The sequence below is a fragment of the Homo sapiens genome, chromosome 10, assembly GCF_000001405.40.
Source record: "Homo sapiens chromosome 10, GRCh38.p14 Primary Assembly".
Taxonomy (NCBI): Eukaryota; Metazoa; Chordata; class Mammalia; order Primates; family Hominidae; genus Homo; species Homo sapiens.
Genome location: NC_000010.11, coordinates 20,022,662 through 20,048,993, shown reverse-complemented (window position 1 = coordinate 20,048,993; position 26,332 = coordinate 20,022,662). Strand labels below are relative to the sequence as shown.

Below are 26,332 nucleotides of genomic sequence, written 5' to 3'. Positions count from 1 at the left end.
CACCAGGTAAGTTACAACCAGAAGTTCAAGTCCTTCCATTTATGTATGAGGCAACCTCAAGTGTTAAAAGCAACAACGTCACTGCCACACTAACAATAAGAAAAAAATGGACTGTCTACAGTATTATCATTTTTCATGACACAATCAGAGAGCTGTCACAAGGCAACCAAGTAAAACCTATTGCAAAGAGAACAGGCTTCTTTAAGGAGAGGCAGGACACAAACTGTCTTACCTTGGGGGGCGGCACAGAGGAGACAGATGGTAGCCATATTTGTACAGAAGAAGAAATCAGCTAATACTTTAACTGAGGAACTCCTTTCTCTGCCTATAGATGTCACCCATAGTGGCTGACACTAGGACTAGGCCACGTCACAGAATCTCCATGTGCATACACCAACATTCAAAATTCCACGAAGTATATTTTATGCTATTAAACACTATAAATGCCATAGTAGGAAGGTTGTCAAATGCAATAGATCCCAGAAAGACATTGTTAAAATCTAATCTTTATCATTTTCTCTTCTTTTGACAATCTGTTGGAAATTCCACTGTGAATTATTTCTAAATCTGTCATCTTGCCTACCTGGGGTTGCCTGAATATAGAAAAAACTGGGGTGGGGGTGGATGATGGAATTTAGCAAGGAAAGGCAGCTACTTCATTTGCTTCTCAGACGCAGAAAGCATGTGCTCTACACCGAAAATTCAGTGAATCATCATGGTATACTATTCTTAATTTCCATTTAGCTTTTAGCAATGGATCTCCTGATAACAGGAACATCTACATATAAACAAGGAAGACCACTGCCAAAAATTTTGATATTTAACATTTATCAAATCAATGCCTCTTTAAATAACTTCAGCCATTGACTCTATTAGTCCTGTGTTTATATCAATAATGACAAAAGCACTTGAAACGTTAAAGTTGTTTTCTTTTCACTTCAGGTCATACTTAACTGAACATCTCATGGCTTCATCAATGACACTATCACCACTGTTACCCAGGCCAGCAAAACCAAATACCCTTTAAAATGTGAAATCTGGCATTTATCATAAAATGATGACCAAAGAACATTCTGAGAACCAAGTGTGATAAATTTTACACACACAATTTGAGCATCAGCTTTGCTACCTAGGTTAACACCTCAGTTTACCACTTTCTAGTGGAGACCTTGGGCAGGTTATCTGAATTTTCCAAGACTCCTCCGTTCTCTTATCTGCAATGTGTGATGTAATAATATTTAAATCATAGGATTGTTGTGGAGATTGGAAAAGCTAATGCATTTGAGCATTCAGGCTGGCCCTTGAATAGGCTATTTATGACCATGTAAGGAAAGGGAGGCTGGTATTAATATTCCTTCTCATCTCCAGTTTACACATGCAGAAAGCACCTCAGAATAGTTAAATTATTTATTTCAGGAGACACACTTAGGAAATAATGAGTCCAGGTTTAAAATATCAGTCTGATGCTTTCTATATTTTATTATTTTTCTTTATATTAAACGTCTTCATTTAAGATCATAATTTGGTCTATATATGTTATCTAAGTCATAAATGACTTCGGTTAAATCTTTGGTTAAATCCAAGACCAACAGCAATAAACCCATGTAAATGGGAAGATACCAAATTCAAGTAATTTTTAAAAATGTTCTATACACTCATGGATTATAAGAAAACTAAAAATAATCCAAGATAAAGCTCAATTTAGAATCCAATATACATTCATCAGATATACTGAGAAAATTGGTTCAATTAATGGCAGTTTATCAAAACAATTCTATTTCATTTTCTTTAATATCTTATATGCAGTAATCAATCTAAATTACAATTACAGAACTGAATACACTTGAAAAGCGATTACCACAGATAAGGCCATTCTAATATTTAATTATCAAACTCATAAAAGAAATGGTTGTAGGCCAATTAAAGCAATTATTTTTTCACAGTAGGTAAAATGAACCCTGAATGTCCAAACACTTACTGCAGCTTGCCGATGAGTATTGGACAATATTCCATGAATCTTCACTTTATCTTTTTCCATTTGGTCTATGTTCACCCATAAATCCCGGCTGGCAGAATCAGATGGACCATATATTCGAGATATATAGTAATTGTGGTCTGTATCCTCCTGCAATAATAGATAATAATGTATATCAAGAACCGAGATGTTTTACCTACAATTCTTTAAAAAAAATCCTATTGAACTCAAGAGTATTAATAGTTTTTAAAAGAGCAAAATGATTTAACTATACTCTAGGAGAAGTGAATTTGGATTAAATAAGTAAATGTGCACACACACACATACGAACTGTAAGAAAAAAATGTTAATAAATAGCTCTATGATTTGAATAATAAAATTTAGAATGTGAATTTTGTCTAGTTCATTTATTATCTAAGTGCTAATCAGATAAAATAAAATGATTACTGAAATCCAGGCAAACCATAAATCCCATGTATTTTTTCACAAATCATCAATCGAGATATATATGTAATTGATTACAAAAAGGAAAAGAATATTCTATGCAGTATTCTAAATTGATTTTGCCTTGTGACTAAAAGAAATACTATGATCCAAATGTAAACGTGGAGAATAATGATTAAATGTTTTGCATATTTAAAAATTTCAATATATATTTCCTTCTAAGTTTTGAATTTTATGTGTGTGTGTGTTTGTGTGTGTATAAAATTAGTAGTCTTCTTTAGAGGAAATTGTTAAATATACAAGACTTGGAAGGAAATATATACTGGGTACAAAGATCTAATTTGTCACCAGAACAAAAAGGTCCTTTTGAACAAAAATGTCTCTTTTGAACTTTTTACTAAAAACCTAAAGTATAATTACAATTAGTAATAACAAATTCAAACTTCTTTTCTTTAAAAATAAGGTTATATCAGGGCCTGCTTTCAGCTAATGGTCCTAGAAATGGACACAATATATTTTTTCCTTTAATTTGAGTTACTACATTCTACTTTTATTTGAATTCTCATTGTTGGTGTTACCTTAGTGCCTGTCACAAAGCCTTTATTCTTCATGGTTCCCACTCAGTGAGGAGATGTAAATGTTTTAAGAGGCAATTTTGATGAGAAATATCCAGAAAAATTATATAATTATTGGCTAATTCTGATTGCAATGTTTTATAACCATGAAATCAATTTGAGGAGTTAGTAGACAAAAAATATTTTAAAACATTCAGGTAAATGTAAGAAAAAATGTTGAATAAATAGGTCTATGATTTGAATAATAAGGTTTGGGATGTAAATTTTGTGTAATTCATTTATCATCTAAGTGATAATTAAATGTAATAAAATTATTCCTGAAATCCAGTCAAAACATGAATCCCATGTATTTTTTTTTAACAAATCATCAATCAAGATATATATGTAACTGATTACAAAAAGGAAAAGAATATTCTATGCAGTATTCTAAATAGATTTTGCCTCATGACTAAAAGAGAGACTATGATCCAAGTGTAAATGTTGAGAATAGTGATTAAATGTTAACAGTAAGTTTTTTTATGTAATGAAGACCCTAGCACAGTGGCTCATGCCTGTAATCCCAGCACTTTGGGAAGCCAAGGCGGGCGGATCACCTGAGGTTAGGAATTTGAGATCAGCCTGGCTAACATGGCAAAACACAGTCTCTACTAAAAATACAAAAATTAGCCGGGTGCAGTGGCGGGTGCTTGTAATCCCAGCTACTTGACAGGCTGAGGTAGGAGAGCTGCTTAACTCTGCAGGCAGAGGTTGCAGTGAGCCAAGATCGTACCACTGCACTCCAGCCTGGGAGACAGAAAAACAAAACAAAACAAACAAAAAACCCTAGGTATATCTGCAATTAAACTCTGGGTATGGAACACAAATTATATGTATACCTTGGTGAAAGAAAAGAAAGGTCTGCAGAGAAAGAAGAACAAAGTAGATGTAAAGAAAGAATAAGGAAGATCATGCAGCCCCCAAAAGCTCTGAAACTTCAATGGGTTTCCAGCCCTCCCTCTGTTTCAGAACCTCATAATGACACGGATAGTTTGGGTTGTCTGAGGGTAAAACACACTGTGAATGTGTCCGCGGTATGTATACTACTCATCTGTGTATATTGGGCTTCACCATCAGAAGATGTGGAGGTGGGAACCTTCCTTGACATTGGGCACAAGCCATTTTGCTCATGTTATTACACTGGTCACAGTGGTTGGTGGCATGCATGAGCAGATAACCTAAGAAGGAGCAATTACTGAGACATTCAGGAATTTAGGTAGAGAAGTGATCATTTCCCTTGTTCTGATTGTGGAGATGTGGGGGTGTGAGACCTGGAATCACTGGCTCCATTTTGCTACTATGGGGAAATTCTGTCTGAAGATGAGGCAAACACATAGCTAAAGAAAGAATTGCAGGCTGGACGCGGTGGCTCATGCCTGTAATCACAACACTTTGGGAGGCCGAGGCGGGTGGATCACCTGAGGTCAGGAGTTCCAGAACAGCCTAGCCAAAATGGTGAAACCCCGTCTCCGCTATAAATACAAAAAATAGCCAGGCGTGATGGCAGATGCCTGTAATCCCAGCTAGTCAGAGGCTGAGGCAGGAGAACTGCTTGAACTTGGGAGGCGGAGTTTGCAGTGAGCCTAGATCGTGCTGTTACACTCCAGCCTGGGCAACAGAGAAAGACTCAAGAAAAAGAAGGAAAGAAAGAAAGAGAGAGAGAGAAAGAAGAAAGAAAGAAAGAAAGAAAGAAAGAAAGAAAGAAAGAAAGAAAGAAAGAAAGAAAGAAAGAAAGAAAGAAAGAAAGAAAGACAGAGAGAGAGAGAGAGAGAAAGAAAGAAAGAAGGAAAGAAAGAAAGAGGAAGGAAGGAAGGAAAAAGAGAGAGAGGGAGGGAGGGAGGAAGGAAGGAAGGAAGGAAGGAAGGAAGGGGAAAAAGCCAGATCCCTGCGCAAGTCTATCTAGATGTGACCTACTACTGGACTTGTTCACTTCCATGAAACCTTGAATCTTTTTCTATTGTTAAATCACCTTGAATTAGGTTATGGTCAACGAAAAGAATCATAACTGAAAAAACAGGTCTTTTTACTTGCAACCAAACTTAAGCAACTTTGAACAAGGCCACCTAGAATTCATTTCATTGACTATTTTCTTCAAAGCCACCACTTTATATCATTCACTGAAAATTTTTAAAAATTAAAAATTAAATTATGTAAAATAATAATTCATTTAATTTTTCAGGGAATGGTATAAAAGGTGGTTTGGAAGAAAATATTCACGGTGTTTAAATCAAAATTTAAATTTTTTCCCTATTGACAGTATTATTACAAAGATTTCAGGAACATTGAGGTTAAAGATGTAATCTTTAGGTGAATTACATAACAGATTTTATGATGCTGCAAAATTTCCCTATAAATAGGGAATATTACAAAATAGATATTTTCTTTAAGGTGTCAAAATTTCACAATTGAGTTCAGTATAATTTTTGAAATCAGCATTTATAAAATAACCTTGGCATTTTCCTTAATCTCTGGATTTCTGTGATTAGTTAAGAAAGAGTCTTGAAGTTATCATAAAGAACATCATTGCGCTTAAATAATGAATTACCTGCAAAAATATACACGATTTAGTCTAATTACGAAGTCTACCACTGACATACTATGTGAAAATACACCTTCAGTTTTTCTTAAATCAGACCTGCCAAAAACAATATCACATCTTCGAAATACTAGAACTTGGTATTTGACTTCTAGAGCCCACGCTTGCCAAGTTGTCATGGCAACTTTTATTCAAAAAGGAAGACAATTTATTGTTTACTTAGGAATGCAGAGACACACATTATTAAATTCCAGAGAGGTGTTTGGTTCAGATATTCAGAAAAACCATAAAATAGATTTCTCAAAAATGTGACATTTTAGCACTAGTAAAGTATTCAAAACACGTCTTATCCTTTTTTAGGAGTAATGGCACTTAAAGAGTTGTCAAAAGCCACTTTGAGTACAAAGATTTTCATTTTCTTTTCAAAAGTAAAGCATTTCTAACACCATAGAAAATAAAACAAAGCACTACTGTGATATGCCTAGTTGCCAATTCATTTAGGAAACCAACTGTTAGAGAAAGTAGGTGGCACCATGTGTGGTATTAAATCGTATAAATCCATGTTTCTCGAAAATGCATGGAAATGTGCAGCTGTAGACAAACAGAGGACCTACACCAAAAATACGGAGGAAAAGTTATCATAACTACAGCTTAGCCATTCTGTAGCAATCGATCTACATCATTCCTAACCCAAATGCTGCCTTCTTTTCTAGCATGGGTGTGTTGACTTTATGAGGGGTAATGTTTATGAATGCCTCACATTGCCTCATGCAGTAATGATATTTGAACTCCAGCTTCATTTCATTTAGAACTCAAAACAAACAAACAAACAAACAAAAAAGATCAAATAAATATTGTATGACTATCAGTGTAGTAGTCATTTGATATACATGGATACTTAAAACATAATGAAAATTCTTAGTAAGATTATTTAATATTGAATCAATGGGCCACCACTTGAAGATCATTCCTTAATTAATAAAGGAAGATTATAATTTGAATGGTTCTTGCCAAGTCTTAACAAATATATTGCATCCTTATAAGAGTGATTTCACAAGGGCTACACAGTTCATTTAAAGGTAAATCTATTTTAAAATACTACTTGTGAAAATTATACTCCTCAGAAATAGAGTTAATAAAAGAGTTCCCTGTGTTCTAAGAAAAAAACATGCTGGTATAAGAAACCAAAAGGACACGATGAAATAACAACAGGAGAGAAAGAGTGAACTGGCAGTAGTCAGGTAAAGAATTACAGAGATGAACCCACTACTGGCCAGAATAAGCATGACTAAATTACCAGTCAGGACACAGGAAATAGCCCCGAGGTACACACAACATGAAATGGAAAAGAACAATGAAATAAATGTCTGGGATGAATGTTATGGATTGAATGTTGGTGTTGCTAAAATTCGTAAATGGAAGCCCCAATGCCCAGTGTGCCTGTATTTGGAGACAGTCTTTAGGAAGGTAATTAAGGTTAAATAATATCATAAGAGTGGGGTCCTTATTCAATAGGATTAGTGTCCTTGTAAGAAGAGATATGAGATTCATTTTCTCTCCTTCCCTCTCTTTTTAATTCTCTTTTTCTCTCATGTGAGGATACAGAAGGAGGCTGTCCATAAGCCAGAAAGGGAGCCCTCACTAAGAACCCAAACAGCTGGCACTTTGATTTGAGACCTCTACCTGCCAGAACTGGGAGAAAAAGTATTTCTGTTCTTTAAGCCACCTAGCCTGCCATCTTTGGTTAAGGCATCTCAAGCTGACAAGACAAAAGTCATCACATAAATTGCAGGGGAAAAAAAAGGAGATCAGGTGCATACGTAGTTGTTGTAGAAAACAATTAAAGATATATTAGAAAAATATTTTTCTGAGATTAAGACTTGAATTTGCACATCATGTCTCAAGAAAATTTGCCATAGAATTTTGAGTACTACAAAATTTCCTACTGAGGTTTTCAATAGATTAAACAAGGAAATCTTATAGGCCTCTAGAAAGATAAATTGAGTTATCTATATGGAGGAAAAAAATTCAATAAGCTGGTACCTGGTACCTCTCCATAATATCTGATAATAACAATGTTTATGCAATCTCAGAGAATAAAGTTGTGACTCAAGAATTTTTTTGTTCAGTCAAGTTGTAATTTAACTATATAGGCAACACACATATTTCTAACACATACAAATATACAGAGAATATGCCACCAAAAAGAACTTAAAAATGTAATGCCTAACTATACACTAAATCAACCAATGGGTGATCAATGTACCTCTAATAAAAATTCCGTAACTATTAGCTGTATTCAGCATGTGGTTATCTATGGGAAGAGAGAAACTATAGCAAATCTTCTGATGGTGAGCACTGTCTCCAAGAAAATTATGTAAAGGGAAAAATGACCATTTCATTATTATGGTTATAAATCAGAATGCTATTACTATCAACCATGAAAATATAAAAATAACTATCTAATGTTTCATAGCAGGCAACTGACAGATAAATCGGAAAGTACAAAAATAAAGTTTTAAAAATAGTAAACTCAAAATTTTAATGTTTTAGGTAACCTTTTAAGGTACTAGTCTACAACTAGTGGCCTTCAGGTTGTATACCTGGCACTGAAAGCCCATTATTTTCCTCAAACATAGTATTGTCAACTGAAGAATCATGAGGTTCATAAATTTGGAAAGAAAGCTTTATTTCTCCCTTCCAAATTCTAATAAACTTGGGAAAGGTGAGGGAGGGGATAGGATCTTTATCTCACATTGCATTTCATGTAGTCCACTCACAAACCAGCTGAGAGCTACCAGTCATTCTGCAAGGCAGCTCCTGCAAGCTACAGTCTGGCCACCCTGCAATGGAAAGGGTATCCTCCAGCAAAAGTCGAGAGCAAGACGAGGATTTATGTTAATTAGGGTAGCTGAGTATACATATTCAATAAGCTACAGGAGGAGTCATGAGTATTCATGAAAGTAGAAACACGTACAAGTGCATTCAAGCTTTGTGCTTCTTCAAGGGTCACATGTACAAAAAATGGTATTAGCATGATCCAAGGGTGGAGTTTTGGGCCCTCCAACATCAAAAGGTAAAGCCAAGGACACCAAAAATCTCACTGGGCATCCTCCTTGAGTCAGCGAAAATCTGTCCAGACGTGGCAGTCTAGTTTCAGGAAGGGGTGCATTGGGAAACTGGCGAGTGGTAATGTGGAAACAGCAAAGTGGGAGAGGGAATCCAGTCGCTGCCTCAGATGATTGGCTAAGGGTGATAAAGGAATGAGTCATCTGTTTCTTGTTTTCCAGAGCTGATTTCTGCTTATTCCTTAGAAAGAATTCTGGTTAAAGGTTAATGAGGAAGGGGCGCACTGAGGCATGACTGACCTCCCACCCCACCATGGCCGAGAACTCAGCTGTTAAGGTTTCTCTGAGGTCCTCTTGGCCAAGAAAGGTCGATTCAGCTGGTTGGATGCTTAGAATTTTATTTTTATTTCTCAGCACTTACGCTATAATCTCAGTTTTAGAAAGTTGCATCTATTCAAATATGAATGTGTATATTTCTACTCACCTATTTCTCTCTCCTCTGATAATTTGTCTAAAGATATGGGTGGAAGATATTTACCTTATATTGACTGGTTAATTCTGGATGATGGAATTTAGGATTCTCCTCCCTCTCATCTGTATTATTTGAATTTTTTTATAATAAACACATTATATGCAAACTACTTTTTTCTTTTTCTCTATATAAAGCTTTAGAAAATATGTGAAGATGCTCAAAGGTATTAATTGTTGATTTTTTTAATCAAACCGCCAACATATATCAAGAGACACAAGGCCATATGCTATACACAGTAAATAGTTCTATAGAATTTCTATCATAAGTACTTTGAAAAGTTCTCAAAAAAGAATCCTTTAACATACTATAGATCAGATATTCAATATGGAGATTCAAGGTCAATAACCTAAAATTGCTCTGCGAAACAGCTGATATATAAATTTCCATTACCTTTTCTTTCGAATACCAGCTTCGATAACTTAACTGCTGTAGAGTGCAATTTTTTTTACTAATTGCCGTAAATAAAATCAGCATTAAAAGAAATGCCGTAAAATAAACATCTCCACTAAATTTTGAATGAGAGATTGGAGTTCAAATCTTTATAAAGTGATTTTTTGCTGTAAGTGTTTTATAGAAACATCACCAAATCATCTCCTTTTTTCTCTCATTTATATCGACAGTAAACTGGACACACAGCTACATTCTCACATAGTTGTGGGTAGATCAGGAAGGAACCAAGGGGAGGAGGAAGATACAGTGTGGTTGAAGACATTAAACTTGCAGACAGGTGAACTGATCTCTAGTTCTCACTGGCTTGGTCCCTAACAAGCTGTCACTTTAGTGAGGTAAATTATCCAATCAGTTCATTTCAGTGTGGCCTTTCCTGCACATAGATTCCCTCTTTTGCCAGAAGTAAAATCATACAGAAAAAGGTAGGGGTCTTGGACTTAAAGAGCTGACCAGTGGAATGAGTAACGACTCCTGGCTGGGTTGGAAACAGACCTCATTGAAAGCAATGTGAGATAAAGTTCCCACCCCTGAATCTCCACCTTTTTCAATTACCTTAGAAGGTGACCTATAGGGAGTGAGGTGTGGACAGATAATTAAGTCACATTAATTTTTTTAATCAAAAAAAGTGAATGATTGATAGTATTTAGCTTTCTTTCACTGGGTTGCTAAAGAATTATATTAAATGAACATTATTTAAACACATTTGAAAAGCCTAAGAACAGAATATAAAGTATTCAGCATCCTTAAATCAAGCCCAGACAATTTCAGCATGATAAGAACAATCACATATTAGCTTTGAATAGACTTCAGTACCCATCATCAAATACTACATTAATACCTTCTTCAGATACTAAGAACAATTACATGGTATACAATTCAATTTACTGTTAGAGTGTCAGAAGAATTAAATTCAATCCATCTGTCTCCTGTTGGTTATATCAGATTATTGCACCAGCTCTCATTATGCACATCTTTTCCATGTTGTTACAGTTGTTTACCCATATCTTCATCATTTCCCCAAGAATTTTCACCTACTTGATCTATTTGCAGCATGGTCTATCCCTCTAGCGATATCTTATGTATGACTTTTCTAGGTATGATTTATTTTATTCTTTTTTTTAAATTTTTTTTTTTATTTTTTTGAGACAGAGTCTTGCTCTGTCACCCAGGCTGGAATGCGGTGGCGTGATCTCAGCTCACTGCAACCTCCATCTCCCAGGTTCAAGCGATTCTCCTGCCTCAGCCTCCTGAGTAGCTGGGACTACAGGCATGTGCCACCACTTCCGGCTAATTTTTTTGTATTTTTAGTAGAGATGGGGTTTCACCATGTTAGCCTCAATCTCCTGACCTCGTCATCCGCCCGCCTCAGCCTCCCAGCGTGCTGGGATTACAGGCATGTACTTCAGAAGAGTTTAGTTAAGTGACCCTCCTAAAAACGTTAGATTAGTAGAGTGGGGTGTGTGTATGTGTGTAAATTTACTGTAAGGTCAGAATACTGTACAACACATTAAAGACAGGATTCCAGCGGTATTTCCATTATAAAACAGTTTCCATTTTCCCAGTAACCATCTCTCTCATAGATGAGATTGTCCTCTCTGCTATGCCGAGTTGGGTGAGCTATATGGCCATGAAAGCACAATACCCTTGTGATCTTTCAAATTCATAACAAAATTAACACAGCTCAGTTAAGTGCTTGCCTAGATCTACAGGCATTTTGAGGTATATTAGTATGTGTTTATGTTGGTTCATTTATTAAATGAAATAGAGTGTATTTTTTACTTAGGTACTACACCTTTATTTATCTACTCCCTGGTACAAACCTTGAACCTTTTCAAGAATGAGCCCCAAAGACTATTTCCAGGCATGGAGTGATGAGATAGAGCATTAGGAGATATACCTAATGTAAATCACGAGTTAATGAGTGCAGCACACCAACATGGCACATGCATATATATGTAACAAACCTGCACGTTGTGCACATGTACCCTAGAACTTAAAGTACAATAAAAAATAAAAATTAAAAAAAAAAAGAAGATGCCAGAAAGAGAATCTGAGGCAGAGTTAGGTGAACTGCCAACTTACAAGGGATTTCTGAGGGCTTCACAAACCCAACAAAAAATGTGATAAAAAAATGTTTAGAATATGTATGAGATTTCTACTAAAATACATAAAATTAACATTACAATAATGTAGCTCAGAGGAGATTTGAGTTGAAGTACAGTTTCTGACTCTAAATAGGCACTGTAAGTTTCAGGCTTTAGTCTGTATAGGAAGGAGTTGAACTAGATCTCTCATGGAATGCCTTTTAACTAAGCTTCTAAGATCTTTTGGCCAAAAGGCAAACAGAAAGTGATTGCTAGGTATAGCTCAGAAGACCCTATGCCTGATTTAAGCGGTCCTCACTAAAAGAGATAAAAGCATGTGTTTGAATACCTAGTACAGGTAGCTAGTTACAATTAGCACTGGTATCAATTGCATTGTTACATAATCATCCTTGTTGATAAATTGTAGATTGGCCCCAAAGTTGGAGGCGAAATTCACAAATGTGTTGAAGGGAATATAAGAATCTTGGAGACCCTATGCATTTTCTATATAAACGGAATAAATTATGGGTCTTGCGTATGTGTGCACAACTATCTTTCAAATGCACAATATAATTGTGGTGGGTAAAATGCATGTTCATTTTTCAGAGCCACTGATTATTTCTGTAATTCTTGATACTGTGATTTTCCAATCCACTGGAAGTAAACAACTATGGTATGGAGGGCCTTAAAATGTTCTAATAATTAAAAAAAAATCACCATTTGTAAAAGATGGAAATTTCTGTTCTAGATTTAACAGGGCTGGAAATTGTGTACTGTTTACATACTGCCTTAGTTCAGGCTACCATAACAATGTATGATAGACTGGATGACTTAAACAACAGAAATTTATGTCTCACAGTTCTGGAGGCTGGAAGTCCAAGATCGAGATTCCAGCTGATTCTGTTTTCATTGAGGGCTCTCCTCCTGGCTTGTAAAGGGCTGCTTTCTCCCTGTGTCCTCAGAAGATGGACAGAGAGTTCCCTGGAGTCTTCTCCTCCTCTTATAGGAACACAAATCTAATGGGATTAGGGCCCCACCCTTATGGCCTCATTTAACCTTAATTACTTCCTAAAGGCCTTGATTCCAAATACAGTCACAATGGGGCCTAGGGCTTCAACCTATGCATTTGGAGTGGGCGGGGGGTACAACGTTAGTCCACAGCACACACATACAGGTCCTTTATTAAGTTTGGATTTATAAAAAAGCCCCAGATGCCAGATATATTACTTTCAAAAACTCATGTCATTTTCTAGTACTAATCAGAATTGCCATTCAAGCTTTCTAATATAAGGAGGCTTTTGGAAAAATCCACAGTTATCTGTCTTGATCTATTTCTTACCAAAAAATTGGTAACTGACTTCTATGTATAATTTTAAAAGAATTATGCAAAAATTTACTCAGAATCAACTTCTAAAAATTATAACTCAGTTAAGAATTTCACACAATCAACTTCTGTGGAAAAGCTGGGTGGTTTCTTTCTACCAGCTTGTGACTACTTGGCCAATAATCTCATTTCTAAAGTAACTGTTACTGTTTAGTCTGGTATTTCCAGTGAAAGGTAAACATATACTTTTTTAAAATTTTTTATTTATTTATTTTAGACAGAGTCTCACTCTGTCACCAAGGCTGGAGTGCTGTGGTGCAATCTTGGCTCACTGCAACTTCCACCTCCCGGGTTCAAACGATTCTCCTCCTTTAGCCTAGGGAGTAGCTGGGATTACAGGCACGCACCACCATGCCCAGCTAATTTTTGTGTTTTAGTAGAGACGGGGTTTTACCATGTTAGCCAGGCTGGTCTCGAACTCCCGACCTCAAGTGATCCACCCTCCTCGACCTCCCAAAATGCTGGGATTACAGGCATGAGCCACCACATCTTGCCTAATATACTTTTAATCAGTCAGATTTTTTAAAATACTATTACTCATTTAATGTCAGAGAATGAAACTTTTCTTTAGCCCTTTCTCTTTGTTTCTAACTTCTCCATGTCTTTAAAATCTTAGCCTCCCAGATTCAGGAAGTGATTAACAAGCAATTAATCAGCTGTAAATGGAATTTTTCTAGGAGGTTTGATGTCGTTTGCCATAGAGTTAGAATCTAATACTACATTACCCCTCTGCACATCATTTTGCAAATAAAGATAACTTTCCGAGCCTCTATTTTCAAGATTACAAAACGGAAGTTAGAATAAAACCAGTGTAATCACACTTGAGTTATGTCTACTTGAGATAAACATGTGAATATATGTTGGAAACTATAAAATGCTATTAGACATCACCTTTGTTAACACAAACAGTCATGGGTTGCTTAATGACAAGTTTCTGAGAAATGTGTCATTAGGGAATTTCATCATTGTACAAACATTATGGAGTGTACCTACACAAACCTAGATGGTATAATCTACTTCACACCTAGGCTATGTGGGATGGTCAACTGTTCTAGGCTACACACCTGCACAGCTGGTTACTGTACTGAAATCTGTAAGCAGCTGTAACACAATGGTAAGCATTTGTGTATCTTAACAGAAAAGTTACGGTAAAAATACAGAATCACTGTCATATATGTAATCTGTCCTTGACAGAAATGTTGTATGTATCACATGATTATAAACCATGGCAACAAAAACAAAACAGGCATTCTACATTCTTATGCTATTAACATTAATAGAAGCATGAATTCTCCTCAAACATTAGAGATCTCAAACCAGACTTTAAAGAGTGAGCAATGTTCTGTAGCCTTTGATATCGGAAAATAATTTTACAAATAAATGATATTCTGAAAACTCCCTTTTTACTGAATTTTATATGTGCCTCTAAGCATATCACTTTAATTACGAAAATATGTCTCAAACAGAACAAGCATAGAAAGAGTAGCAATCAAATAAATTAATTTGAACATTAATAGCATATATTATGCCAGCATAGAGAATTATTACCCTAAAGAGAATACAGAGGATATTTAATCAACCTAATTTTATGAAAATACTGTTACTTTTAATAGTAAACCTAGTATCCAAATATATTTCTGTCTAATGGGATTAACAGCTACCTCTAAAATGAAATCATATATATGTAATTGAAATTCTGGGATTGCATTTTAAAAACTTGACAGGAAGGACAGGTAAAGAGGACATGCTATGTTGGGTGATTGTTTTCAAACTTATAATATTTCAAAATGGTAAAACAATGTATAGCTAAACCTTGAAGGAGTCTCTCTTTATGTATTAATTTTTGGATAAAAAATTCTCATAATCAACTTTTTCACGTCTTGCACAATAAGACCTTTTTTAAAAAACAGGATGCATGGTACTAAGAGTCAAAAACAAAATTACAATAGATTTCATATTATCTTAGTTTGTCTCACCTTCAAAGTTTATGGCATTGTTTTGAGGAACGATGAACATGTGAAGAGAAAAAGAACAGTAATAAAGAGAAAACATAGCTTTAAAGCAAATTAATTTTTTAAAACAACCTACAAATATATGCATGATATGGTTTGGCTGTATCCCTACCCAAATCTCCAGTTGTAGCTCCCATAATTCCCAAGTGTCATGGGAAGGAACTCGAGGGAGGTAATTGAATCATGGGGGTGAATCTTTCCCATGCTGTTCTTGTGATAGTGAATAAGTATCATGAGATCTGATGGTTTTATAAAGGGAAGTTACCCCACACAAGCTCTCTCTCTTGCCTGCCACCATGTAAGATATCTCTTTGCTCTTCCTTCGCCTTCTGCCGTGATTGTGCCGTGATTGTGAGGCTTCCTCAGCCATGTGGAACTCTTTCCTTTATGAATTACCCAGTTTTGGGTATGTCTTTATTTAGTAGCATGAGAGCAGACTAATACAATGCATAATTGGGTATGCTATAATACTTGGAATGCCAAAATGAAGAAGAAATGGGTCACTTACTTTCTGTGTTTCAGCATCCCCTTATGTAAAAATATTTCCAGCAAGCTTCAAGAAGTATCAAGAATATTGAATTAGGGTTCTACATTCTCTCCATCTTTAATCCACTGCCTCAATCCCTGCCATCTACCATACTGGGATTTTGGTGCTTGTTTCTTCTTTTGGATCCTTTTATTTTATTTTTTTATTTTATTTTTTTATATATTTTTTATTATACTTTAAGTTCTAGGGTACATGTGCACAACGTGCAGGTTTGTTACATATGTATACATGTGCCATGTTGGTGTGCTGCACCCATTAACTCATCATTTACTTTAGGTATATCTCCTAATGCTATCCCTTCCCCCTCCCCCCACCCCACAACAGGCCCCGGTGTGTGATGTTCCCCTTCCTGTGTCCAAGTGTTCTCATTGTTTACTTCTCACCAAGAGTGAGAACATGCAGTGTGGATCCTTTCTTTTAAAACTAAGAAAATGATTAATCACGTATTTACAAAAACTGGGTAATAAGTGTAACTAACATGTATGTACCTATGATATTCCCAAGTCCTCTGCTTGGCACATAATATATATTATATATTTAATCCTTCCAACAAACCAGTGAATTAGATGCCACTTTAAAAATAAAGAAACTGAAGCTGAGACATATGGAGTAGCTTCACTAGCACTACATAAATCCCAGGGATATAAAACCAGTTCTATATAACACATACAAACTCCAGAGTCAATGTTCTCTCCGCTTCCACAGTACCTTGTAGTTATCAAAATTTTTAGGATCTCAAAAAACAATCACACTTGCTCAGATTGTTTCTATTAGGCTACTTATCAGACCTTCTGTAAGAGCTCTCTCACTGGTCTCCCCGTTTCTCGTATAAGTTCCCCTCACTCTATTCTCTACATAGTAGAGTAATCCTTTTGAAAAGTAAACCTATTAAACCAGAAATCTAATCATATCATGCCCCTGTTCAAATGAGGCTTCTCATCACACTTAGAATAAAATCCAATATCCTTACCACACACTGTGCTTGACACAACCATCTCTCCAACTTCATTTTCCTCATCTCACATGCCACACCAACCACAATGGTTTTCTTGTTGTCCCATGAATATGTCCATATTCTCCAACATCATACATTGCACCTGCTGTTTCATGCCTCTGAAATAATCCTCCCTTAGTCTGTTTTAATTGTTCTAAGTTCCTTTAAAACATTGTTCATCATCGGATCTTTTTTCTTCTTTCACCTCCACTGAACTTCTTTAAAATCTCTCTCTGGGCCAGGCATGGTGGCTTAAGCCGGTAATCCCAGCACTTTGGAAGGCCAAGGTGGGCAGATTACTTGAGGTCAGAAGTTCAAGACCAGCCTGGCCAACATGGTGAAACCTTGTCTCTACAAAAAATACAAAAAATTAGCTGGACGTGGTAGCACACACCTGAAATCCCAGCTACTCGGGAGGCTGAGGCAGGAGAATCTCTTGAACTTGGGAGGTTGCAGTGGGCCGAGATTATGCCACTGCACTCCAGCATGAGTGACAGAGTGAGACTCCATCTCAAAATAATAAATAAATAAATAAATAAATAAATAAATAATAAAAACAACTTCCTGTATTGTGTCCAATTCTGTATTATAGTGATTAGAACTTTGCCTAATACCTAACAGATATTCCACACACGGTTGTTGATGTTAGCGCTTCTTTATATTTTACAAGGCTAATTTATTTGGCTTTGTCACCTCCTAGAAAAAAGGTCACAATGGCCTGGGCATGCAGCCCAGGGCACCTCACCAATCCAAAGAATCCTGAATGCAGAGATAGTTGTTTTAAGCCATCAAGTTTTGGAGTTGTTTGTTACTTAGCAGTAGACTACCAACAGAGGTGGCTTGGGACTTTTTGTAATAGAGAATGGATATTTCAAGAATCAAAAACTGAATAGTGAATCAAATTTATAAGTAAATTGGACTGGTTTGTAATGTGCTGCTACATCTTCCTTGCTGTCATGAAGAATCCAGCACTGTGACTTTTTTTTTTTAATAGGATCTTGCTCTGTCGCCCAGGCTGGAGAGCAGTGGCACAATTGTGTCTCACTGCAGCCTGGCCCTCATGGGCTCAGGAGGCTCGCCTACTTTAGCCTCCTGAGTAGCTGGGACTACAGGCACATGACACCATGGTCGGCTATCTTTTTAAAGTTTTTTGTAGAAACAGGGCCTCACTATGTTGCCCAGGCTGGTCTTGAACCCCTGGCCTCAAGCAGTCCTTCTGCCTCAGCCTCTCAAAGTGCTGGGATTACAGGCATAAACCACTAAGCCCAATTCTTTCTATTCCACACAGTGTCAGCTGAGTTCACTGCTGGCCTGCAATCAGTTGGTATGTCAGCTGGGCCTGGCTGGTCCCAGTCAGCCTTGGTCACATGTTTAGGGTCTCTATCTCCATTTGCTGTCTCATTTCTAAGTGGGCTAAATTTGGGTTTATTCACAATGGACAAATATGAATCTGAAAGAGCCATTTCTTCACGGCAGATCTCAAGTTGGTAACTGGGCCTAAATCTAAAATAGAGCCAAGTGGCCATTGGCTGATAAGGGGTCAAACACATACTCGGAGTTCCCCAGAAACCCACACCTTTTTATTTTGGGGACTTTCAGAGCTCACCTGAATCAACTAATCAGCGCTCACCTCTCTCAGCCAGTCAGGGCTCAGCTGTATAAACCAGTCAGGGCTCAGCTGTATCTACCAATCAGAGCTAAGCAACTTTTGACCCTTTATTTACATAAACAGACCTGATTGGGAACTGTGGCAGGAATCTTTGCTACAAAACCTGAGCCTACCCTTTGCTCTCTGGAATGTACCTTTGTTTTACAACAGAGGCTGCTGCATCTCCTTGGTATGCAAACTGTTCACTGGAATAAAGTCTCTTTCCTCCAAATTCCTTTTCAGAGGATTTTGTTCACATCATAAAGTGACAGAATCTAAGAAGGGTAAGAGAAGAAGCTGTACAGCCTCTTGAGGCATTGCCTACAAGGTACACAATGTCACTTCACACTGTTTTCATCAGAACAAGTCACAAGGCATGGCCTGGGTTGAAGAGGTGAGAAAAGAGATCCTATCTCCTTATAAAAGGAACTGCAGGAATTCATGGTCATTTGTATAATACAATGCCATCCAGTTTTTTGTTGTTGTTGTTGTTTCTTGTTTGTTTGTTTGTTTTGTTCCTGAGCCGTTGAGCTGTCTGGCTACGTGTAACTATATGGCCACTCTGCCCCAAAGAGATGCTGTACCCATTTTCACTTTGTTGAGACATTATTTCATAATACTCTTAAGTAGCATCCATTTTTTTTCAAATAATCTCTAAGAGTGCCTTCATTTGGCATAGAGGAACTTTTAGCAGTGTAAATCTTCCTACTGCTTTCTAAATAAGAATTTAAAAGCCAAATTCAAATGATAAATTCTTCTAGGATCACATCTTAGAAGAGGGAAAACCTTGTTGCCAACTCACTTAATGTCAGGTAGCTGATGTGGAGGGTAAATAAGGGCAGAACAAAAGAAGAGAGCTTGCAATCCTTTCGTGAGTTATTAAAAATAAAGAAGCAAGAAGAAAAAGCACAATCTGTTGAGCAGTTTTGTTTTAAAATTACCAATGATATTTTCAGACAAATATTTTCGTAATATGGTTTTGCTGATTTTGCAGAAATATTCTCTTTCCGATCTATAAACCTGGCATTTATACTTTGTAAAAAAAATTACAAGATAGCTAAAAGAGATTTTATTTCAGTGCAGCCCAAGAAGTATTTGTTCTTTTTTTATTTATTTATTTTTTATTTTTTTGGTTCTGTCTTGCAAAGTCCCAGGGGTGAGGAGGGGAATCAATATTATTAGCTTTTCACTTTCCTAAGAACTAGCTGGAAAGACCCCAAGAAAAAGAAATATATGGGAAAACATTCAAGAGACTATAGTCCAATATAAGAAGATGCCGTCAAATCGCCTATTTTTTTTACAAGCATTTCTTTTACATGTCATGCATTTAAGTTAACAAGTATTCATGATGCATGGATTATGTATGTGGGAGGTATGAAGGGCAAGTAGGTATTTATGATCTAGTCTTTGCTCTCTAGAAGTCTGCAGCCTAGTAAGATGATACAGATATTCAAATATCTCTTTTCCAAACCAGTAGAAGATAACCGCTGAACTAAAGACAAGACTCAGTCTATAAGCCTTCTAAGAAAGGAAATTTCATTCAGTTTTAAAGGTAAGAAAAATAAGGTTCATAGAAGTAAGAGCATTAAACCTGGCCCTGGAAAAATGATTTAGAATTTGAGAAGGTCACTCTAGTCAGAGGCACTGGTCTGATCATAGGAAAAAGGGCAGAAATCAACTAGAGGTAATACAGAAACTCTCCAGAACAAAAGCTCATACACAGGAGTAATGTGAATTGAGGACAGTTTGATATGCCAAAATTAGAATGCACAAAGCCTCGAATGTCTGTCCCGAAAGTCTGAACTTGATTCTGTAAAAGAAGAGAGACTTGGAAGCAATGGATTAAATGTGGACTTAGAAGGAACAATCTAGAAAATAGGGTGGAACAGAGAAGGTACAAATTATAATCAGACATTGGTTTGGAAGCTATTTCAATAGGCAAAGAATAAAACTCATAATAGCTCATACTGGGTTACCAACAAGAGCAAAAGAGAAAGAGGCTGTTATGAGAAAGGCTGTAAAAAATCTAAAAGACTTGCCAGTATTTGAGAGGGAGAGGAGCACTCAGAAACGACCCTGAAGGACTTAGTATAACTGAGACAGTCCAGAAGGTTTAGAGTAACTTATGTCAGTTAACATTTTGAAACAGAACCTGGTATATCTATATATCATTTTAAAAACTAAAAAACAAATATGGGAAAATAATACCATTGATTCCCAAATATAGTACATTCGCAACTCACAAAAGCAAGGTCTTAGGAGTAATCAGTTGTAATTGAGAGGCCTCCCTCTCATATTCAAATAACACCTGCATTTCTATTTTTCTTTCACTGAGTATTTGATACATGCTTAAAGTGGGACACACCACGACCTAACAAATCCCTTTGAACTAGAGCAGTGATTCTCAAATTTGTCTGTGTATTAGAATCACCTGGAGACCTTGAAAAATTCCAAACCCCAGGCCACGTTCTAGACCAATTAAATCAGATTTTGAGATGGAATGCAGAGTGTGATCCCAACGTGCAGACCAGTCTGAGAACCGCTGAATTAAAAGCAAGTAACACCAATTAGCTGAAATGTCCAAATTGCAACACACTGTACTCTACATGACCATGCCCAAGCCAAGACTTTAGAAATCTATAAAGTATTTCAATTTATCCTTAAAGAGTGATCAAAATGTAAGAATTTCACTTCTGTCAATTTAGAGCTTACCACTTTGCACATCATGTACAGCAAGGTTTATGTTCCAGAAAAGTGTAGGGAAACAAATAGTCCTAAGTCTGTTTTTGAAATGGTGACTCCTAAAGTTCTACCTGTGTTGAAATCAATCTCAGTAAAGTAGGCTGTGTCCAGATTTCTCTTCCTTAATGGATATCAGATCTAGACAATTTCTGAGATTTTTAAAATGTTTCACAGGTTGCACCTATACGTGTTCCAAATATAAATATGGAATCTTCATATTGTGGTTTCTGCTGCATTGATTTGATGTAGAATTTTATGGGGTTTTTTTTTTTTTCAGGTTGTCCCAGCTTCAAAACAAGTGTTGAGAGAAAGTATCTTCAAAAGTGCAATGGACAAGCTGCATCATGTTGAGATATCTACACAATTTTAAAGATCATTAATCAGACTGCAAGCACAATGCCTTCGTCCATTTGTGCTGCTATAACAGACTTGGCAATTTATAAAAAGAAGAAATTCATTTTCTCACAGTTCTGGAGGCTACAAAGTCCAAGATCAAGGTACTGGCACCTGTGTGGGCCTTCTCGTTGCATCCTCACATAGTAGAAGGCAGGAGGGCAAGAGAGAACAAACACTGTACCCTCACAATGAGAAGGAGAGAAGGGGATGAATCCAGTGATTCACACCCTTTTCATAACAACATTAATCTATTTATGAGGGCAGAGGCCTTATAAACTAAACACTTCCCATTAGGCCCCAGCTCTCAACACTGTTGCACTGGGGATTAAGCCTCAATCATATGAATTCTGGGGGACACATTGAGACCACCGCACTTAAGAACTAGGCTTTGCATAACTATGCCATGCAAAGCATTAAATTGGGTGTGTCTACATGTATTAGAATATATTATGTATATTAGAATATATTATAAAAGTGTATTCTATATATTAGAATATATTATAAAAGTGTATTCTATATATTAGAATATATTATAAAAGTGTATTCTATATATTAGAATATATTATAAAAGTGTATTCTATATATTAGAATATATTATAAAAGTGTATTCTATATATTAGAATATATTATAAAAGTGTATTCTATATATTAGAATATATTATAAAAGTGTATTCTATATATTAGAATATATTATAAAAGTGTATTCTATATATTAGAATATATTATAAAAGTATATTCTATATATTAGAATATATTATAAAGGTATATTATATTCAATAGATTAGAATATAATGCTAATTATACATAAGACTTAGTAGAAAGAGATTATATTTAGTTTGGGGAAGATTAAATTTGTGCATCCATCAGTTTAGAAATTTTGGCTAATTTGTGGTATCTGCTCTTGTTTGGTGGTTCCCAGACTTGTCTGCATGTTGGAATCACATCCTGCACTGCAGCCCGGATTCAGATTTAATTGGTCTAGAATATGGCATGGGCTTTGGAATCTGTAGAAGATTTTCAGGTAATTTTATCCATCGTACTTTATCCTTAAAAAGCTAAAAGTTGAACCACTTTCCTGAAAAGATACCACTTCACTTATTTTTTCTTTCCTTCAAGGAGATAAATCACATGATTAAATTGACCAGTTTGGACTTCTTATTGGTATTTGATACCCTTAGGGGGAGACTCACAGAAGGAGAATATTCTCTTTCCAAGTCTTTGCAGTTGAAATGCCAACCAGCTGCCTTTTTAGATTAAATGTCATTCACTATTAGGACATTAAAAACATTTATTCAGGAGAATTTCATTTTAAGAAATATATAGCCAGCAATATAAAAAAAAAACCATAGTCTCTGCATTTATGCTGCTTATAGTTTAGTGGAGAACATAGGCATTAAGTTTAATTAAACCTTAATAACATAATCTAGAACCACTTGATTTACCTATGCATCTCAGATGAAAAGTCCAAAAGAAATCAGAAAAGGAACTCAATTGAATAATCGAATACTCTACATTAGAGCTCCATATACTTGTAAAGTTCAATGCTTGTAAAAGTAAACAAGTTTCATTTGCTCATAGCTTTCCTCTGCCTGAGTTTATCTACGTAGTTCTTTTCACTAATCTGTAATGTGAATACAAATTGCTTAGAATTGTCAGCAATATAATAAATTTAGTTAATTAATATATAAAATTAAAATTATTACTCAATGGTGAAAAAATGAATAATAATCTGGAGGGGAAAACAAGTGAAAAAAAGCTTATGTCAAAGTTATCCTTGGGTCTCATATCCAAAATGTATAAGGAACTTACTGTTGAATAAGTAAAAAACAGACAACTACATTAAAAATGGGCAAAAGACTTGAATAGAAACTTCTAAAATGAAGACATACCAGCAGCCAACAAACATATAAAAAAAAGATTATCACCACTAATCGTCAGAGAAATGCACATCAAAACTACAATGCGATACCATCTTATGCCAGTCAGAATGGCTAGAATTAAAAAGTCGAGGCTGGGTGCTGTGGCTCACACCTGTAATCCCAGCACTTTGGGAGGTCAAGGCAGGCAGATCACCTGAGGTCGGGAGTTCAAGACCAGCCTGACCAACAAGGAGAAACCCTGTCTTTACTAAAGATAAAAAATTAGCCAGGCATGGTGGTGCATGCCTGTAATCCCAGCTACTTGGGAGGTTGAGGCAGGAGAATCATTGAACCTGGGAGGTGGAGGTTGCGGTGAGTTGAGATTGCACCACTGCACTCTAGCCTGGGCAAAAATAGCAAAACTCTGTCAAAAAAAAAAAAAAGTCGAAAAAACAATAGATGCTGGCTAGGTTGCAAAGCAAAGGGAGCCCTTATACTCTGTTGGTGGTAATGTAAATTAGTTTAGCTACTGTGGAAAACAATTTGGCAATTTCTCAAAGAAATTAAAACAGAGCTACCATACAACTTGCAACAGAATTACCAACTAGCAATGGAATTGCTGGGTATATATTCAAAAGAAAATACATCATTTTGGTGTCTACCAAAAAGACACCTGCACTTGTATGTTCATTGCAGCACTAGTCACAATAGCAAAGACACAGAATCAACTTAGGTGCCCATCGATGGTGGATTGGATAAAGAAAATGTGCTACATATACACCATGGAATACTATAAAACCATGAAAAAGAATGAAATCATGTCCTTTAAGCAACATGGATGCAGCTAGAGGCCATTATCCTATAAGAATTAGTGCAGGAACAGAAAAACAAATACTGCATGTTCTCACTTATAAGTAGGACCTGAACGATGGGTATTCATAGACCTAAAGAAGGCAAAAATAGATACTGGGGACCACTAGATGGGAAAAGGTGGGGATCAAGGGTTGAAAAACTAACTCTTGGGTACTGTGCTCAGGACCTGAGTATCAGACACAATATATCCAGGTAACAAACCTGCACACATACCCCTTGTATCTAAAATAAAATTAGAAATTATTTTTTAAAAAAGAAAAACAAAAACAAGAACAAAAGTTATCCTTGGATTTTCCTCTGGAAAAAAAGTTTATTACTCCAGAGAGCAAGAATGGAGACAATGGGGAAAGACAATAATGAGAAGAATTCGTATGTTCAATTGGAGACCAAAGATTGTTAATAAATATTCCTTGGAATCAGATGAGTAAGAACAGGCATGAACAAATAGCACATCAGTGTTCTGTTACAACTAGCATAAAATCCAAAGTTCAACATAGGTCTATGCACTAGATTATTTTGACTTAATGATCTCTTACCAATTAGTCCAATATGAAGGACATCATTTATCAAATTCAACACATATTTGGTTCCCTTATGTAACTGAGATTTTACAAAACTTGTGATGGCTTAGAGTTTTTTATTACAAGAAAAACACCAACAATAGTTTTTAAACCATATAGAGGAATAAAAGGAATGTTTTTGAAAGTCAAGGAGGCAAAATAAGCAGATTGCCTTGGAAACTGTAGGTGGAAATTTCCCCCAGAATATCATATATGTTCCTATTCTGCAGACCAATACATTGACCAATACATCTTATATATAAGATCAATCAATATATTGATTCTGCAGAATAGGAACAAGGAAAATCAATGTCCTGGCAGTTGATATAAGAGTTCTTAATTGTTGTTATTTCTAGGGTAATGAAGTCTGGCTCCAGAGATCCAGAATGAATAAATAAATCCTCTTTTCTACCCTGTCTCTGTGATCATATGCCATCTTAAATGCAGCAGATACAAATTGAGAAATATATTAAGTAATCAAATAATTTGCAGGGTTTTTTTAATAAAACATTTTTTTGAAAGTGGCTGCCTATAAATAACTTTTGTGGATTGCAGACTGTCTTAGTCTGTTTTGTGCTGCTATAACAGAATACCACAGACTGGGTAATTTATAATGAACAGAAATGTATTGGCTCATGATTCTAGATACTGGGAAGTCCAAGATGGAAGGGGCAGCATTTGATTAGGGCACTCTTGCTGTGGAAGAAGGGCAAAGAAAGGGCAAGAGAGAGCAAGAGAAAGGAGCTGAACTCATCCTTTTATCAGAAACCCCTCCATCAATAACAGCATTAATCCATTCATGAGGCAGAACCTTCATGGCCTAATTACCTCTTATTAGGCCCCACCTCCCAACATTGCTGCCTTAGGGTCAAGTTTCAAACACATGCTTTTTGGAGGACACATTCAAACTGTAGCACATACTTATAAGGTATTTATGACATCGAGAAATGTTTTAGATCTACAATAAAGAATTTGTAAAGCAGTAGTTCCCAAAGAGTAAAATGTGAATAAATGAGGATAACTTGGTAAGACCCATGTAGTTATTTATCGATCATTTATTCTATCATGTTTTATTTCTTTTTAATGCTTTCTTTTTCTGAAACAATACGGATTGTAGATAATATATATATATAAACATTGTATTGTGGATAATATATATAAACATATATATTTAAAATATTATATATATACATATATATATTTAAATGCCATTACTTTTCCAAAAAAAATTAAGAGCCTTTTTTTGCGGGGGGAGGGTTATAATAATATCCAGGCTCCAGTGGCCACTGCCACAGTGTTTGTCTCCCCCTTTGGAGGTAGAGTAGAACATATTTAAATAATCCAAGGTATTGGTCATTAAATTGCAGAGCTAAGGTCCAGAGTATTTCTCATACTCTGCCAAGTATTAACATATTTTATTCGCAAAAACTCTAGGAAAGTTGCAAGATTTTCACCTTCAAATTCACAACTCCCTCATCCCAATAACAATAACAATGAATGTAGTAAATGATTATTTGCATGTACATCACTCTTCGCCTTGGTACAGGGCCTTCAGGAACTCCTAAGCTCATTCTGGTTACCCACAGGAGGCGAGGAGGCTATCGTGCAAGCAAAAGG

At 36.0% G+C, this 26,332-nt stretch overlaps 1 protein-coding gene across 3 annotated transcripts in view; it reads right to left on the bottom strand.

Annotated features, from left to right (window-relative positions):
- Positions 1 to 26,332, bottom strand: part of PLXDC2 (plexin domain containing 2) — a 473,425-nt gene that overhangs the window by 240,863 nt on the left and 206,230 nt on the right. For 2 of the 3 annotated variants that reach the window (NM_032812.9, XM_011519750.3), the window contains exon 3: positions 1,979 to 2,125. The exons of the other annotated variant lie outside the window; for it this stretch is intronic. In NM_032812.9, the coding sequence (NP_116201.7) occupies positions 1,979 to 2,125 (147 nt within the window). The remainder of the gene's footprint in view (positions 1 to 1,978; positions 2,126 to 26,332) is intronic. 3 annotated transcript variants of the gene reach the window in all.